The sequence below is a fragment of the Homo sapiens genome, chromosome 3 (genome assembly GCF_000001405.40).
Source record: "Homo sapiens chromosome 3, GRCh38.p14 Primary Assembly".
Taxonomy (NCBI): domain Eukaryota; kingdom Metazoa; phylum Chordata; class Mammalia; order Primates; family Hominidae; genus Homo; species Homo sapiens.
Genome location: NC_000003.12, coordinates 158,108,631 through 158,123,542, shown reverse-complemented (window position 1 = coordinate 158,123,542; position 14,912 = coordinate 158,108,631). Strand labels below are relative to the sequence as shown.

Genomic DNA, 14,912 nt, shown 5'->3' with positions numbered 1-14,912 from the left:
GAGGATCGCTTGAGGCCAAGAATTCGATACCAGCTTGGGCAACACAGCAAGGCCAAGTCTCCACAAAAAATAAAAATAAAAAAACTTAGCTAGGCATGGTGGCACATGCCTCTAGTACTAGCTATTCAGGAAGCTGAGGTGGGAGGATCCCTTGAGTCCAAAAGATATGACTGCACCGCTGCACTCCCGCCTGAGTGACAGAGCAAGATCTTGTCTCTAAAAAAATTTAAAATTAAGGCCAGGCACGGTGGCTCACGCCTGTAATCCCAACATTTTGGGAGGCTGAGGAGGGCAGATCACCTGAGGTCAGGAGTTCAAGACCAGCCTGACCAACATGGTGAAACCCTGTCTCTACTAAAAATACAAAACTAGCTGGGCATAGTGGTGCATGCCTGGAATCCCGGCTACTTGGAAGGCTGAGAAGAACTGCTTGAACCTGGGAGGCAGAGGCTGCAGTGAGCTGAGATCACGCCATTGTACTCCAGCCTGGACAACAAGAGCAAAACTCCGTTGCAGCACTGTTCACAATAGCAAAGGCTTGGAACCAACTCAAATGTCCATCAATGACAGACTGGATTAAGAAAATGTGGCACATATACACCATGGAATACTACGCAGCCATAAAAAAGGATGAGTTCACATCCTTTGTAGGCACATAGATGAAGCTGGAAACCATCATTCTCAGCAAACTATCGCAAGGACAAAAAACCAAACACCGCATGTTCTCATTCATAGGTGGGAATTGAACAATGAGAACTCTTGGACACAGGAAGGGGAACATCACACACTGGGGCCTGTCATGGGGTGGGGGGCTAGGGGAGGGATAGCATTAGGAGATACACCTAATGTAAATGACGAGTTAACAGATGCAGCACACCAACATGGCACATGTATACATATGTAACAAACCTGCATGTTGTGTACTAGAACTTAAAGTATAATAAAATAAAAAATAATTCATTAGAAAAATAAATAAATAAATGCACTAGAAAAAAAATTAAATTAAATTAAAAAAGGAAACTACACCACTTTCTATCTATTTGCCTACTAAGAACAGACAAAGGTTGAGGACACTAGACCCACGGACTGGACCTGGTGGAACAAAAAAACTCTGGGTTGGGACTTTCATAAATATATAGCTAGTAAAAGAAAAATGTTTTATCTAGCAAAATTAAAAATACAAAAACATGAATTTTAAAGAATGTTATCCTCATTACTATATAAATAAAAATTACAAAAATCACCTTCTATCATAAGAATGTGAACGAGGCTGAAGATCTCTGGACCAAGATCTTGACTTTGATCTTGATTTCCTTCCTCCTTTCTTTCGGCTGTATGTTCTACTATCTGAAGAACTGCTCGAGGAGGACCGTCTACGGTGTTTCTTTTTTCTCTTGCTTCTGCTTTCTTCTTCAGTATCTGATGACCGACGTCCCATTTCTATAAGCATAAATTTGAAGAATATTATTTCTAACATGGTGGCACAATGGATGAAATGCAATATATTAATTTTTTATTTCATTTATTTATTTATTTTAGAGATGGGGTCTCCCTCTGTATCCCAGGCTGGAGTGTAGTGGTACAATCATTGCTCACTGCAACCTGGAAGTCCTGGGCTCCAGCGATCCTTCCCCCAAGCCTTCCAAAGTGCTGGGACTACAGGCATGAGCCACCATTTCTGGCCTCAATGTACTACTTTTTATAAAACTTTGTAAAATTTTTAAAAGTCTTATTCAAAGTAAAATTGTTTATGTGCCTGGCTTCTTGACAAGACTGAGAGCAGTTCTTTATATCAATTATCTGATATTTTAAGTTATATTTCTCATTAATTATATGACATTTTCTTTAGTAATCAACCAACTATTCCTTTATTCTCACATTCCCTAATGACAAAATATATTTTACTATCTTAGAGTTGAATTTTTTTTCTAACAGAAAATTCTACATCTTTAAATAGCTAAAACCTCATTAGTCATCAACAAAGTACAAACTGAAACAATGAACTATAATCATCATTTCACTTGTGAAACTCAGGGGAGACAATATTAACTAAAGTACTAAAGTTGATGAGGTTATTGAGAAATCAGTCAGCTCTTCACACACTGCTAGTATCTCTATAAGGTGGTAGAATAATCTTTTTAGAAAGCAATAAAACAATAAATTAAGCAGATATAATAGATATTATATCTATAACAGACATCCACATTTGTATGTGTATATTACACACAAACATATATATTTATATCCACATTAAGAAATATGTACACAATTGAGTAATAATAATCTAAAAATGTTGATGCTTTTTTGACAGAGAAATCCTACTTCTACAAATACATCTGAAAAAATTTTTCTAAAGGATATATTCATGAAAATATTCATCACAGCATTATTATAGTGGTATCCATTGAGATAATTTAAGAAAATATGTACATATGAAAATTAGTATTTAAATGATGCAATATAATTTTCATAATATAAAATATAGTTTTTCAAACTATTTCTATATAGTTATGGTAACACGGACATTTAGTATACAACAGAAAAAACAAATAGAACCTAAGGCTTTCATATTTAGGAATTAACTTTGCTGACAAGAAGCTTAGTTGTCTTACTTTAATTTAGATTCTCATATGCAATACTATTTTTTATTAAAATAGTTATTAGTTATCTTTCAAAGTCATATAAAAACAAGATCCATTCGTTGTAATCACTTAGGATAAATAAAAGCTCACATCATCTTTAATATTTATTCAAAATAAGTTAAATACCGTCACTATAAACAAAGTATTATGTTGGTGCAAAAGTAATTGCAGTTTTTACCATGACTTTTAATGGAATATATTTATATATATATAAAATATATATTATCTATTTAATATATTAAATATATATTATGTATAGTATGTTTAACATTAAATATATTATATATTAAATATTAACTATATAATACTTAATATTAACTGTATATTTAATATATTAATATTAATATATTAATTCTATATTATTTATATATTTAATAATTAATACATTCCATTAAAAGTAATGGCAAAAACCACAATTACTTTTGTGCCAACTTATAATATGTTAAATTACTGCTTTGCTTTCAGAAGCATCAGGTGAGCCAGCCCCTCCCTGATTCCAATACAATACCAGTTGAAAAAATCTCTTAGGACTCAAATCAAAACTTTAAGCTATTTACCTAGAGCCAGAATTAAGGATTTTAAATGTAGCTCTGAACGTCCAAGTTGCTCACATGTCTAAGATTTTAGTTTAACAAAACACTGGGAAGACTTGGTTTTGAAGATTTCAGTAAATCACTTACATATCTAAGCCAGTTTCCTCATTTAAAAAATGAAACTACAATAGGTAAAAGATTACCACGACACTTTCCAGCTTTAAAATGACTATGAAAGTGGCCAGGTGCAGTGGCTCACGCCTGTAATCCCAGCACTTTGGGAGGCCGAGGCGGGCGGATCCTGAGGTCAGGAGTTCGAGACCAGCCTGATCAACATGGTGAAACCCCATCTCTACTAAAAACACAAAAAGTAGCTGGGCGTGGTGGCATGCGCCTGTAGTCTCAGCTACTCAGTAGTCTGAGACAGGAGAATCGCTTGAACCTGGGAGGCGGAGGTTGCAGTGAGCCGAGATAGTGCCATTGCACTCCAGCCTGGGTGACAGAGCGAGACTCTATCTCAAAAAAAAAAAAAAAAGACTATGAAATTATAAATATATACAACATGTATATATATGTAAATACAAACATACATTTAAATACAAACATAATTCAGATGTATATAAGGTATATCTGTACATACATATAAATTCACATGTGTCCATATCCATTTATACATAAAATATATACATATATCCATTATATATATCAAATAGATACCCACATATGTATGTGTGTATATTATACACACACACATATACTTATATCCATGTTAAGAAATATGTACACAATTGAATGATAATAATTTCATTTCTTGGCTTTTAATTCCTTTCTTGTTTTTACCTTTAATCATTTAAGAATGTTCCTCACAAACAAATAACCATTTAAATTAAGATGAGCTTTTACTATCTTGCTATCTTGTTTTAAAAAATACCAAAATAAGATTAAAGAAATTAAAAAGTATAAATTTGAAAGGATAGAGACTAGAAAACAACAGGAACATGAGATATGTCAACAAACTTTTGGCAAGTGAAAAACACATGGAGAATTTAGAGCTAAGAAAACTTATTATCAGGCAACTGTAGAGAATTCCAACAAGAGAAAAGCAAATTCACATAGCAAAAATCAGAAAGGATCAGGAATTTAAGACACCAGATACCAGAGCAGGCACAATGAGGCCATGAGGCTAAAAACAAAAAAAAAATTGATTGAATTTATGTAATAGTGTCCCTGAGTCCCTCCATTCTACCCAGCCAGGTGATACTCTTCCCCAATCCTCAGAGGAGAGAACGTTTATTTTGGGGAGAAAAATGAATCAAAGAAGCACCAGGTCCAAGGACACAGTAAAAAAAGACAGAGATGCCAAACTAAAAGTTAAAGAGATTAAGTTAAGTTAAAGTCTATAATCAAATAGAAAAGTCATAGCCCTCTGTGTGCTATCCTCAAGAGGATTCTTGAATATCTGCAAAAACTGAACAACACCTAAGAAAAGATATATAAGCATTTGAGGGTTCCCCCCAAAAAGGGCAGGCCCCCACCCAATCACCCTATAATGAAGCCTACTAGTTGACAAGTCCAAACCTTAAATACAGGTTACAACTGTATTTATAACATTTTTCTGTAAACATTTTTTCTGTTAACTTTTTGCTGAATATACAACAAAATATAAGCAAACATGATGAAAGCCTTCACCATAAAAGACAGAAACTAAAACAGAAAGAAAAAAAGCAAATGATAGTAAACCAGAACATACAGAAGAAAACTTCAAGAACAAAAATAACAGCTAATATCCTCAGATGCATATGACAGGATGATCCAGCAAACAAGACTAGGAGGAACATTTGGAGAATAGGACAGATAGCTTAAAATTTTAACAAAGGACAATTTAAAAAAACCACGCGCACGCGCACACACACACACACACACACACACACACACACACACACACACACACACAGAAGGCCAGGTACTTAGCTAGGCATGGTGGCACATGCCTCTAGTACTAGCTATTCAGGAAGCTGAGGTGGGAGGATCCCTTGAGTCCAAAAGATATGACTGCACCGCTGCACTCCCGCCTGAGTGACAGAGCAAGATGTTGTCTCTAAAAAAATTTAAAATTAAGGCCAGGCACGGTGGCTCACGCCTGTAATCCCAGCACTTTGGGCAGCCAAGGCAAACAGATCACTTGAGTCCAGGAGTTTGAGACCAGCCCCGCCAACATGGTGAAAACTGGTCTCCACAAAAAATACAAAAATTAGCTGGACGTGGTGATGCATACTTGTAGTACCAGCTACTCAGGAGACTGAGGCAGGAGGATCACCGGAGCCCAAGTGGGCGAGGCTACAGTGAGCCAACATTGTGCCACTGCATTCCAGCCTGGGAGACAGAGCGAGACCCAGCCTCAAAAAAACAGACAACAAAAACAATAAGGTTGGAAAAGAGGTTAAAGGACTCAAAAAAAGAAAGAAAGAAAGAAAGAAAGAAAGAAAAAGAGACAGACATTTTACAAACAGAAGAGGATCAATCTGGAAGTCCAAAATGCACCAGATACGCATTCTATAAAAAAAAAAGAATAGAAAAGCTCAGCATAATGGCATAAGCCGGTAGTCCCAGTTACTCTGAACGCTGAAATGGGAGGACACCTTGACCCCAGGAGTTCAAAGCTCTAGTGAGGTATAATCCCACCACTGCACCCCCAGCCTGGGTGATAGGGTGAGATCCTGTCTTTAAAAACAGGAGAAAAGGGACAAAAAAAAATTACCCAAAAATTAAATTTCCAGGCCAGGCATGGTGGCTCACATTTGTAATATCAGCACTTTGGCAGGCCGAAGTGGGTGGATTGCTTGAACCCAGGGAGTTTGAGACCAGCCTGGGCAACATGGTGAAACCCCTGTCTCTACAAAAAATCAGCTGAGCATGGTGGTGCACACCTGTAGTCCCAGCTACTTGAGGGGGCTGAGGCAGCAGGATCACCTGAGCCCAGAAGGTCCAGGCTGCAGTGAGCTGCAATCACCCTACTGCACTCTAGTCTGGGTGACAGAATAAGTCCTTGTTTCAAAGTTCCAGAATTGAAAGATGAATTGCCCTAAGTCCCTGGGACAATGATTTTTCTAAAAAGACATACCCAGTATATCTCATAAAAACTTTAGACACCAGGAATATACAGAAGAGCCTAGAAATTTCTAAAGATAAAAAAATATGGGTAGCACAATAAAAGGCATATGGGTTTTCACAACACAGAAAACAACGGAGACTAGCCTTTAAAATGCTGAGAAAATGAATCTCAACCTAGAATCTCTATCCAGCCAAATCACTGTTCTGCTACGAGATTAGAATAAAGACATTTTCAGACATGTAAGGTCTCAAAATTATACCCCACACTCTCCCCTTTTCATGAAGTTACTCGACAGTGTGCTCCATGAAAAGAAGAGTATCACAACAGACAACCCAGATTCAAAATATAAGTAATCTTATACTGAAGATACGAAAGACATCCCAGACTGATAGCATATAAGCAATACATCAATAAACAAGAAAAAAAAAATCCTTTCCCTATAGAAGCTTACATTCTAGTACCAGCGATTTTCAAAATGAGGCCTGTAGACCCTTGGGGATCTCTACAACACTTTTCAGGGGACTCAAGAAGTCAAAACTATATTCACTGTAACACTAAAACATTATTTACCTTTTTCATTGTGCTGACTTTTGCACTGATGGTGCAAAAGTAATAGTGGACAAAACTGCTGGCACCTTAGCACAAATCAAGGCAGAGGCACCAAATTATACTTAGTAGTCACTGTATCCCTCACTGCCATACAGTCACAGTTTAAAAAAAAAAGCAATTTCAATTAAGAATGTCCTCAATAAAGCAGTAAAAATCATAAATTTTACTAAATTTCCACTCGAGTACATACACATCTTTTTAATATTCTTATGAAATGAGAGATACACATAACTTCTGCCATATATTGAAGAACGCTGGTTATTTCAAGAACAAGCATTTGTGTAACTGAATTGCAACTTGAATTAGCTGCTTTTATTATGAAACATTATTTTATTTTAAAAACTCACTATAATTATGCAGACTTGAGTATCTGGAAAACCTTTTCTTGAAAATGAAGGGATCCTTCCATTTCAAGGAAAAGAGTATTCATTGCTGATGATAAAATTCAAGCTTGCAAGCAAAAATTTGAATTTTAGATAATTTGTATTGCCACCATGAGAATGATAGCTTCTGAATACTTAAAAACTTCCGAGATCATCGGTGACATTAACAAACATGAATTTTTGATATATAATGAAGGGTGTTAACATTAGAAAGATATGCCTAACTCAGTGAGCCAATATTTTCCAAATGGCCAATGCAAAATGTCACAAAACCATGCGTGGGTAAAGATCCACTCAGAGTGTAAGTCAGACCAATAGATTTTAACATAATGGAGTACCAAAGGTTATCCATATGGTTTCAAAAACCATATTAAAACAGAACTTCAAGAAATTAACACAATCAATTTTTGGTGTAATACGAAAGACATAATTACCTGAAAAGGGTTACTAAAACACTTATCTGAGTAAAGCCAGATTTGCTTCACAAACTTCAATCAAAACAATTTATCTCAGTGGATTGAATGAAGAAGCAGATATGAGAATCCAGCCATCTTCTATTAAACCAGACATTAGAGATTTGCAAAAAAGGAAAATAGGCCACTTTTCTCACTAAGTTTGTTTTGGAAAACACAGTTATTTTTCATATCAAAGATACTATTTATGTTACCATATTTTGGGTTTATTGTTATTAAATGAATTCATGAAGATTTCAAAATTTCGTTTTAATTAATAAGGTAAATATTCATAGATATAATCCAAATAAATGTTATTGGAGTCCTCAACAATGTTTCAGAGTGTAAAGAGACCCTAAGACTAAAATGTTTGAGAACCTCTGCTCTAAGATACCTACAGTCATTCCCATTCTCTATTTCTGTCCTTTATACTACATCTCTGAGTAAGGCACAAACAAGCAGAAAAAAAGGAAGGGACACAGATCTATCTGTCTTGGGGGTGACCAAAAAGAGAGAACAGGAGAAGGCGAGTATAAATTTTTTATTTGTTCTAATTACAAACAACATAATTTATCCATAATAGAAGGCTGGTTGATTACATTTAACACAGGTTAATGAAAGATAACAAAAGTCCTTCCTTGGAACATACCTCAAAATAACAAGAGCCATTTACAACAAACCCACAGCCAATATCATACGGAATGAGAAAAAGCTGGAAGAATTCCTCTTGAAAACCAGCACAAGACAAGGATGTCCTCTCTCACCACTCCTATTCAACATAGTATTGAAAACTCTGGCCACAGCAATCAGGCAAGAGAAAAAAAACAAAGGGTATTCGAATAGGAAGACAGGAAGTCAAATCGTCTTTGCAGATGACATAATCCTATATCTAGAAAACCTAATCATCTCAGCTCAAAAGCTTATTAAGCTGACAAGCAACTTCAGTAATGTTTCAGGATACAAAATCAATGTGCAAAAATCACTAGCATTCCTATACACTAACAACAGACAAGCAGAGAGCCAAATCATGAATGAACTCCCATTTACAACTGCTATAAAAAGAATAAAATACCTAGGAATACAGCTAACAAGGGAAGTGAAGGACCTCTTCAAGGAGAACTACAAACCACTGCTCAAGGAAATCAGAGAGGACACAAACAAGTGGAAAAACGTTCCATGCTCACAGATAGGAAGAATCAATATCGTGAAAATGGCAATACCACCCAAAGTGACCTAAAGATTCAATGCTATTCCCATCAAACTACCATTAACATTCTTCACAGAATCAGAAAAAAAAACTATTTCAAAATTCATATGGAACCAAAAAAGAGCCCATATAGCCAAGACAATCCTTAGCAAAAAGAACAAAGCTGGAGGCATCATGCTACCTGACTTCAAACTATACTACCAGGCTACAGTAGCCAAAACAGCATGGTACTAGTATAAAGACAGACACATAGACCAATGGAACAGAATAGACAACTCAGAAATAAGACCGCACATCTACAACCATCTGTTCTTTGACAAACCTGACAAAAACAAGCAATGAGGAAAGGACTCCCTATTTAATAAATGGTACTGGGAGAACTGGCTAGCCATATGTAGAAAATTGAAAGTGGACCCCTTCCTTATATCTTACACAAAAAATTAACTCAAGATAGATTAAAGACTTAAATGTAAAACCCAAAACTATAAAAACCTTAGAAGAAAATCTAGGCAATACCATACAGGACAAAGGCACGGGCAAAGATTTCATGGCAAAAACGTCAAAAGCAATTGCAACAAAAACAAAAATTACAAATGGGATCTAATTAAACTAAAGAGTTTCTGCACAGCAAAAGAAATTATCATCAGAACGAACAGACAATCTATAGAGGAAAATTTTTGCAACCTATACAACTGACAAAGGTCTAATATCCAGAGTCTATAAGGAAGTTAAACAAATTTGCAAGAAAAAAAAAGGAATCCCATTAAAAAATGGGCAAAGAACATGAACAGACACTTCTCAAAAGAAGTCATTTATGCAGCCAACAAACATATGAGAAAAAACTCAACATCACTGATCATTAGAGAAATGCAAATCAAAACTACAATGAGATATCATCTCATGCCAGTCAGAATGCAATTATTAAGAAGTCAAGAAATGGCCTGGCACAGTGGCTCACACCTGTAATCCTAGTACTTTGGGAGGCTGAGGGGGGTGGATCACGAGGTCAGGAGATGGAGACCATCCTGGCCAGCATGGTGAAACCCTGTTTCTATTAAAAATACAAAAATTAGCTGGGCGTGGTGAAGCGTGCCTGTAATCCCAGCTACTCAGGAGGCTGAGGCAGGAGAGTTGCTTGAACCAGGGAGTCAGAGGTTGCAGTAAGCCGAGATCGCACCACTGCACTCCAGCCTGGTGACAGAGTGAGACTCCCGTCTCAAAAAAAAAAAAAAAGTCAAAAAACAACAGATGCTGGCAAGGCTGTGGAGAGACAGGAACACTTTTATTAATAAACTGTTGGTGAGAATGTAAATTAGTTCAACCATTGTGGAAGATGATGTCACAGGCATTGTCCAGAACGGGTGATACTTTGAGGAATCAGCAGTGTGGTGATTCCCCAAAGACCTAGAACCAGAAATACCATTTGACCCAGCAATCCCATTACTGGGTATATATCCAAAGGAATAGAAATCATTCTGTTATAAAGACACATGCACGTTTATGTTCACTGCAGCATTATTCACAATAGCAAAGACACAAAATCAAACTAAATGCCCATCAATGATAGACTGAATAAAGAAAATGTGGTACATATACATCACAGAATATTATGGAGCCACAAAAAAAGAATGAGATCATCATTTGCACGGACATGGATGGAGCTGGAAGCCATTATACTCATCAAACTAACGCAGGAAGAGAAAACCAAACACCGCATATTCTCACTCATAAGTGGGAGCTGAATATTGAGAACACATGGACCTGGGAGGGGAACAACACACAATGGGGCCTGAGGTGGGGGCATGGGGGAAGGGAGAGCATCAGGAAAAATAGATAACGCATGCTGGGCTTAATATTTAGGTGCAGTAAACCACCATGGCACATGTTTACTTATGTAATAAACCTCCACATCCTGCACATGTACCCCAGAACTTAAAATAAATCCTTCCTTAGAGAAACCAAGAAAAGTTTGAAAAACCAGTGTGACAAAACTATAAATATTTCAAGTGACACATTTACATTTCAGAAAAATTACACTGAAATATAATTAATCCCAATAAAAGAAAGCAAAAGGTCACCATATTTCTTTGTTATAGTTAACTTCAAACATTTATTCACAAAAGGGAGTGAATACTAACAGCAAATCACAAAGTAGATCCCAAAATTGTCTTCTCTATAAATGACAGGTACTGAAGTCCTACTCACCACCACAGACATAAACTTACCCCTGGATTTCCATAATATCATCAGCATGTAATTAAATATACTTGCCAATTCAAGACATGGTAATCAATTTATATTACATAGTCCTAGTAAGGAAGAATTCTTTATACTTAACTCCACCAGTAAGGTGCAATGAATGGAAAGACACATTGATAGTTCTTTCTGATAAGGGCAATGAATGATGAATGGAGCACAGGCTTTTAGAGTCCTACAAGCTGACAATTTTCAATCTATCTGTAGGTGAAAGAGACAACATGGGACAGAGCTCCTATAGCTCTTGGTTTCCTGTTCTCACTCTAGTTCTTCCTGGTTGTAGCCTCGTGGTTGCAAAACTCACCCAACAACTCCCACTACAGAACTGAAGCCATGGCATGTAATGACTACAGGAGGAGATCAATTTACAGAAATATCTTAATGTAAAGTTCACGTGCCTGATTGAAGAGGTAAAGCCAACATGTGGTCATTCAAGAAAAGAGAACTCAAAGGACTACACAAGTAGTTCCTTTGTCCAGTTATTGATAAGGGTACAAGAAGCAGTTATCTCTTTCAGAAAACAGGCAATCAGTTTGAAGAACAAAGATTTCCAAAGGACATGATAGCTTATAATTACTTCTCCACTACTCACTCAGTATATCAAACTATAATTTTCTTGATTCTGGACACATGGCCAGAAAAAGTGAAAACAATGGTTATTTCAATGGGAAATCCACCTCAAAGAAGAAAAGTAAAACTGGGGTGAAAACTAACATATTAAGAAATCCATAAACAAGTACACAACTCTTTATCTCAAAAGAGATAAAGAATTCTGTCAAAACACTTCTCCCATCACAATTAAAAACTTGCAAGCATCTCTCTTTTTAAAAAAGCATGATCAATCATAGGAATTTATCCCCAATGGTTTGAACATGAAAGCAGGAAATACAACTATAGATCTACTATAAACAACCCGCTTTCAGAACTTTTCCAATTCATAACACCCCTCTTTGTGAGACTGGTTGAGTTGGCAAGGCCAATTAACAGAAGGTGCCAGCTGTTTTTGTCGTTTCAGATTCTGACATTTTTAGCCCTCTTATTGAAAAACATAAAGTGTTATATCACTTAGCATGAAATCTTTGCCTGCAAAGAAAGTGAATATTTATAAACTCTAAGACTAGAGAGGCTCTTAAAGGATACCTAGTTTCCCCCAAGGTTGCAACTGTCACACCTGCTCCAAATCTTAAACCTGGGAACTCTGCTTACCTCCTTCACTTAGAACTTTTATAATACATCTAAGTTCAAAGATGACAACTCGAATGCTTTCTTGTGACAACATAAGACATTTGAATTTATTTATCTACTACCTAGTTAGCTGGAACACAATTGGGTTACTGCTAATTCTGAAAGTGTAAAAAAATATTTTTTTGTTTAGGTTTCCAGTGTGCATTTAAAGATACACAACCTCTGAGAGAGAAATTACGTCAAGGTTAACCTAAAATCAAGAGCAGGCAACATGCCTTACGGTGCATTGTAACATCTTGCAAAAGTAAACAGAGCCATATGCTCTTGGTCACATGCCACCAGTACAGAAGTCAAAGGAATATATAGTGTGTTTAAGGCGAGCATATTTATATTTCAAGAGAGGAACATCTATTTCACCCTGCACCACTTCTCTCAGCAAGCCAGTGTGAGCCAGAAAGGGTAGGGCGGAATCAGAAAGAGAGCTGGATCTAAGGCAGGGACAGTGGAGTGGATGGGATAGAGGGCACCAGAATCCAGCCTCCCTCTTGCTCCACCCTACCTAGAGCTAGTGAGGAAGCGCCAGGCTTATATTGCAAGATGAGCCAGGAAACCCAAAAGCAGCTATGAAGAACCAGGAACGTGGGGCGAGGGGAGGAGTCGGCGAACTCTCCGACATGTCCTCAAGACAGAAGGCCAAGCTTGAGGCCTGCGGCCACCCACCCACCCTACAGCCACCAGCCTTGACCCAAGGAGTCCGGAGCCTCCCAGGTGCGGGACGCATGCGCACGGTGACACTGCGCACGCCCCGAGGCCGCAGCCCACCCTCCACAGACACTGAGCCGCAAACTGCGCCAGGCCCCGCGTCGCCTCTCGCCGGATCAGGGCCTCGGAGCTCCGCAGCCACGGCTGCCGCTCCCCAGGCCCTGGTCGTGGGCATCACCTGGGTCCAGACCTTTGGGCTCACACCTCCCGTTGACGTGCAAGCGCCGCAGTCCCTGAGTCGTTTCTTTAGATCAGGGCGCCGCCGGCGTCCACCGAACTTGCTTCAGTTTAAGCTCAGCGCCTTCCTGGTTCTAGCGCCAGGCAGCTTCAGCCGAGATATCGAGTGCATCGATGGACGCTGCCAGGCGCTGGGAATGCCGAGGGAGTAGATTGTAACGCGGCCGATTTTTTGTTTGGCGTTTGTTTTGCGTGCCTGTTTATTTTGATTTTATTGTTACCAAAAGCAATAAAGGTGGGACTGGAGAGTGTTATTGTCTTAGTAGTCGTCGTTATCGTCATGGGTAATCAGTAAACAAATCTGCATCGTAGGAAGTTTTGTTTATGACACCTACCCGAAACAAAATTGGTTATCTCACGCTGGGGGAGGGGGAAACTCGCCCAACGATAATAAATCATGGGAGTGTGTCTGTATAGAGTCGTGTGTGATTAAATTGTAATGATTTATTTGCAAAAATGCATTAAAAGTCGGTGTTTCTTCTGCCCTGAAGGTGAAGGCACTCACAAGTTGAGTGCAAATTAGTTTCTCAGATTAAAGTAACTGGTTAGTAGAGGAATAGGAGAGAGCTGCCTGAGGCGAGGCGGGGAGCGGTTTCTTCTGAAAGAGAACTCAAATTTATAGGTGTGTGGAGTTTTTTTATTTAAACCAATAGAAATTAAAGAGACTCAGCATTTTCTGTAATTCATACTACATTACTTATTTTTCCTTACATGGAAATTTTTTCCTCATTTACTCTTAAGCAAAGCTAAAAAGATAAATAAATTGTTGGCCTGGGTTTTGGTCGACTATGAGAATCAACTCATTCACCACTGCTAGATAACCAAGCTACAGTTTTCCGCAGACATTTGAGATGGTGAAAAATCACCTCCACAATATATTTTTCGTAAATAATGTACCTTAACTAGCCAGTTTTGAGGCACCGTTTTAAAACTTAACTACTACAACACTACGTGTATATTTTAAATAATTCAAGAGCTGGGGAAACCCTTGGGGTCCTGAATTTTATTGGAACCTGTGCATCTGTCCACAGACTGTCAGCTGAGCTTTACCATAAATGCTTTTTTTTTTTTTTAAACAAAAACTGTATTTTGAAATGCCCTGTTTCTGGAAGATATTTGCTGTTTAATGAAACAACATCATTGGAACTTTGTGAGCATTTATTAATGTATGAATTTAAAACCTTGAAATATTTTTTAAAGTAACTTCCCTTAGGCCAGTGGAAATCTGTGGTCAGACACTAAAGATTTCTCATGGCTCCATCTGTTATCAACACTACTATTCCTAAATATGCAATGAGCCAAAAAGCTGAGATCATGGGAAAATTTATTGGTTTGAATTACACAATAGTTGTGTCTGTGACTTCCCTGATTACCTTCAAAGTGGTCATCTTTCCCTCAAGCTCAGTAGATGAAATATGACTTCAAACCTAAAAGTCATGTACTTAAAAAGGCAAACAAGTAGCTGGTGGGTCTCCTGATTCCTTAACCGACTTCTAACAGTGGTTATTTTTGAGTTATTTGTGAATATGTATTT

At 37.6% G+C, this 14,912-nt stretch overlaps 1 protein-coding gene across 6 annotated transcripts in view, besides 5 other annotated features; it reads right to left on the bottom strand.

Moving 5' to 3' along the window:
- The window catches only part of RSRC1 (arginine and serine rich coiled-coil 1), a 435,642-nt gene extending 422,188 nt beyond the window's left edge, over positions 1 to 13,454 (bottom strand). For 2 of the 6 annotated variants that reach the window (NM_001271838.2, XM_047448273.1), the window contains exons 1-2: positions 13,320 to 13,454; positions 1,245 to 1,440 (exon numbers count right to left, since the gene is read on the bottom strand). In NM_001271838.2, coding sequence (NP_001258767.1) covers positions 1,245 to 1,438 — 194 coding nt within the window. In that variant the 5' untranslated portion in view covers positions 1,439 to 1,440; positions 13,320 to 13,454. Of the gene's footprint in view, positions 1 to 1,244; positions 1,441 to 12,938; positions 13,165 to 13,319 lie in introns of those variants that run through there. The other 4 variants (XM_047448275.1, XM_047448274.1, NM_016625.4 and 1 more) reach the window with 3 other exon arrangements.
- Positions 12,792 to 13,291: an enhancer, noted in NCBI's record as "H3K27ac hESC enhancer chr3:157828041-157828540 (GRCh37/hg19 assembly coordinates)". NCBI's record gives its function as "activates a minimal SCP1, AML or CMV promoter by ChIP-STARR-seq in primed H9 embryonic stem cells {active_cell/tissue: H9 hESC(primed)}" and the evidence as "EXISTENCE:reporter gene assay evidence [ECO:0000049][PMID:30033119]".
- Positions 12,792 to 13,793: a biological region, named in NCBI's record as "H3K27ac hESC enhancers GRCh37_chr3:157827539-157828040 and GRCh37_chr3:157828041-157828540".
- Positions 12,881 to 12,930: an enhancer, noted in NCBI's record as "active region_20745". NCBI's record gives its function as "activates an Ori minimal core promoter by ATAC-STARR-seq in GM12878 lymphoblastoid cells {active_cell/tissue: GM12878}" and the evidence as "EXISTENCE:reporter gene assay evidence [ECO:0000049][PMID:35858748]".
- Positions 13,141 to 13,490: an enhancer, noted in NCBI's record as "active region_20744". NCBI's record gives its function as "activates an Ori minimal core promoter by ATAC-STARR-seq in GM12878 lymphoblastoid cells {active_cell/tissue: GM12878}" and the evidence as "EXISTENCE:reporter gene assay evidence [ECO:0000049][PMID:35858748]".
- Positions 13,292 to 13,793: an enhancer, noted in NCBI's record as "H3K27ac hESC enhancer chr3:157827539-157828040 (GRCh37/hg19 assembly coordinates)". NCBI's record gives its function as "activates a minimal SCP1, AML or CMV promoter by ChIP-STARR-seq in naive and primed H9 embryonic stem cells {active_cell/tissue: H9 hESC(naive and primed)}" and the evidence as "EXISTENCE:reporter gene assay evidence [ECO:0000049][PMID:30033119]".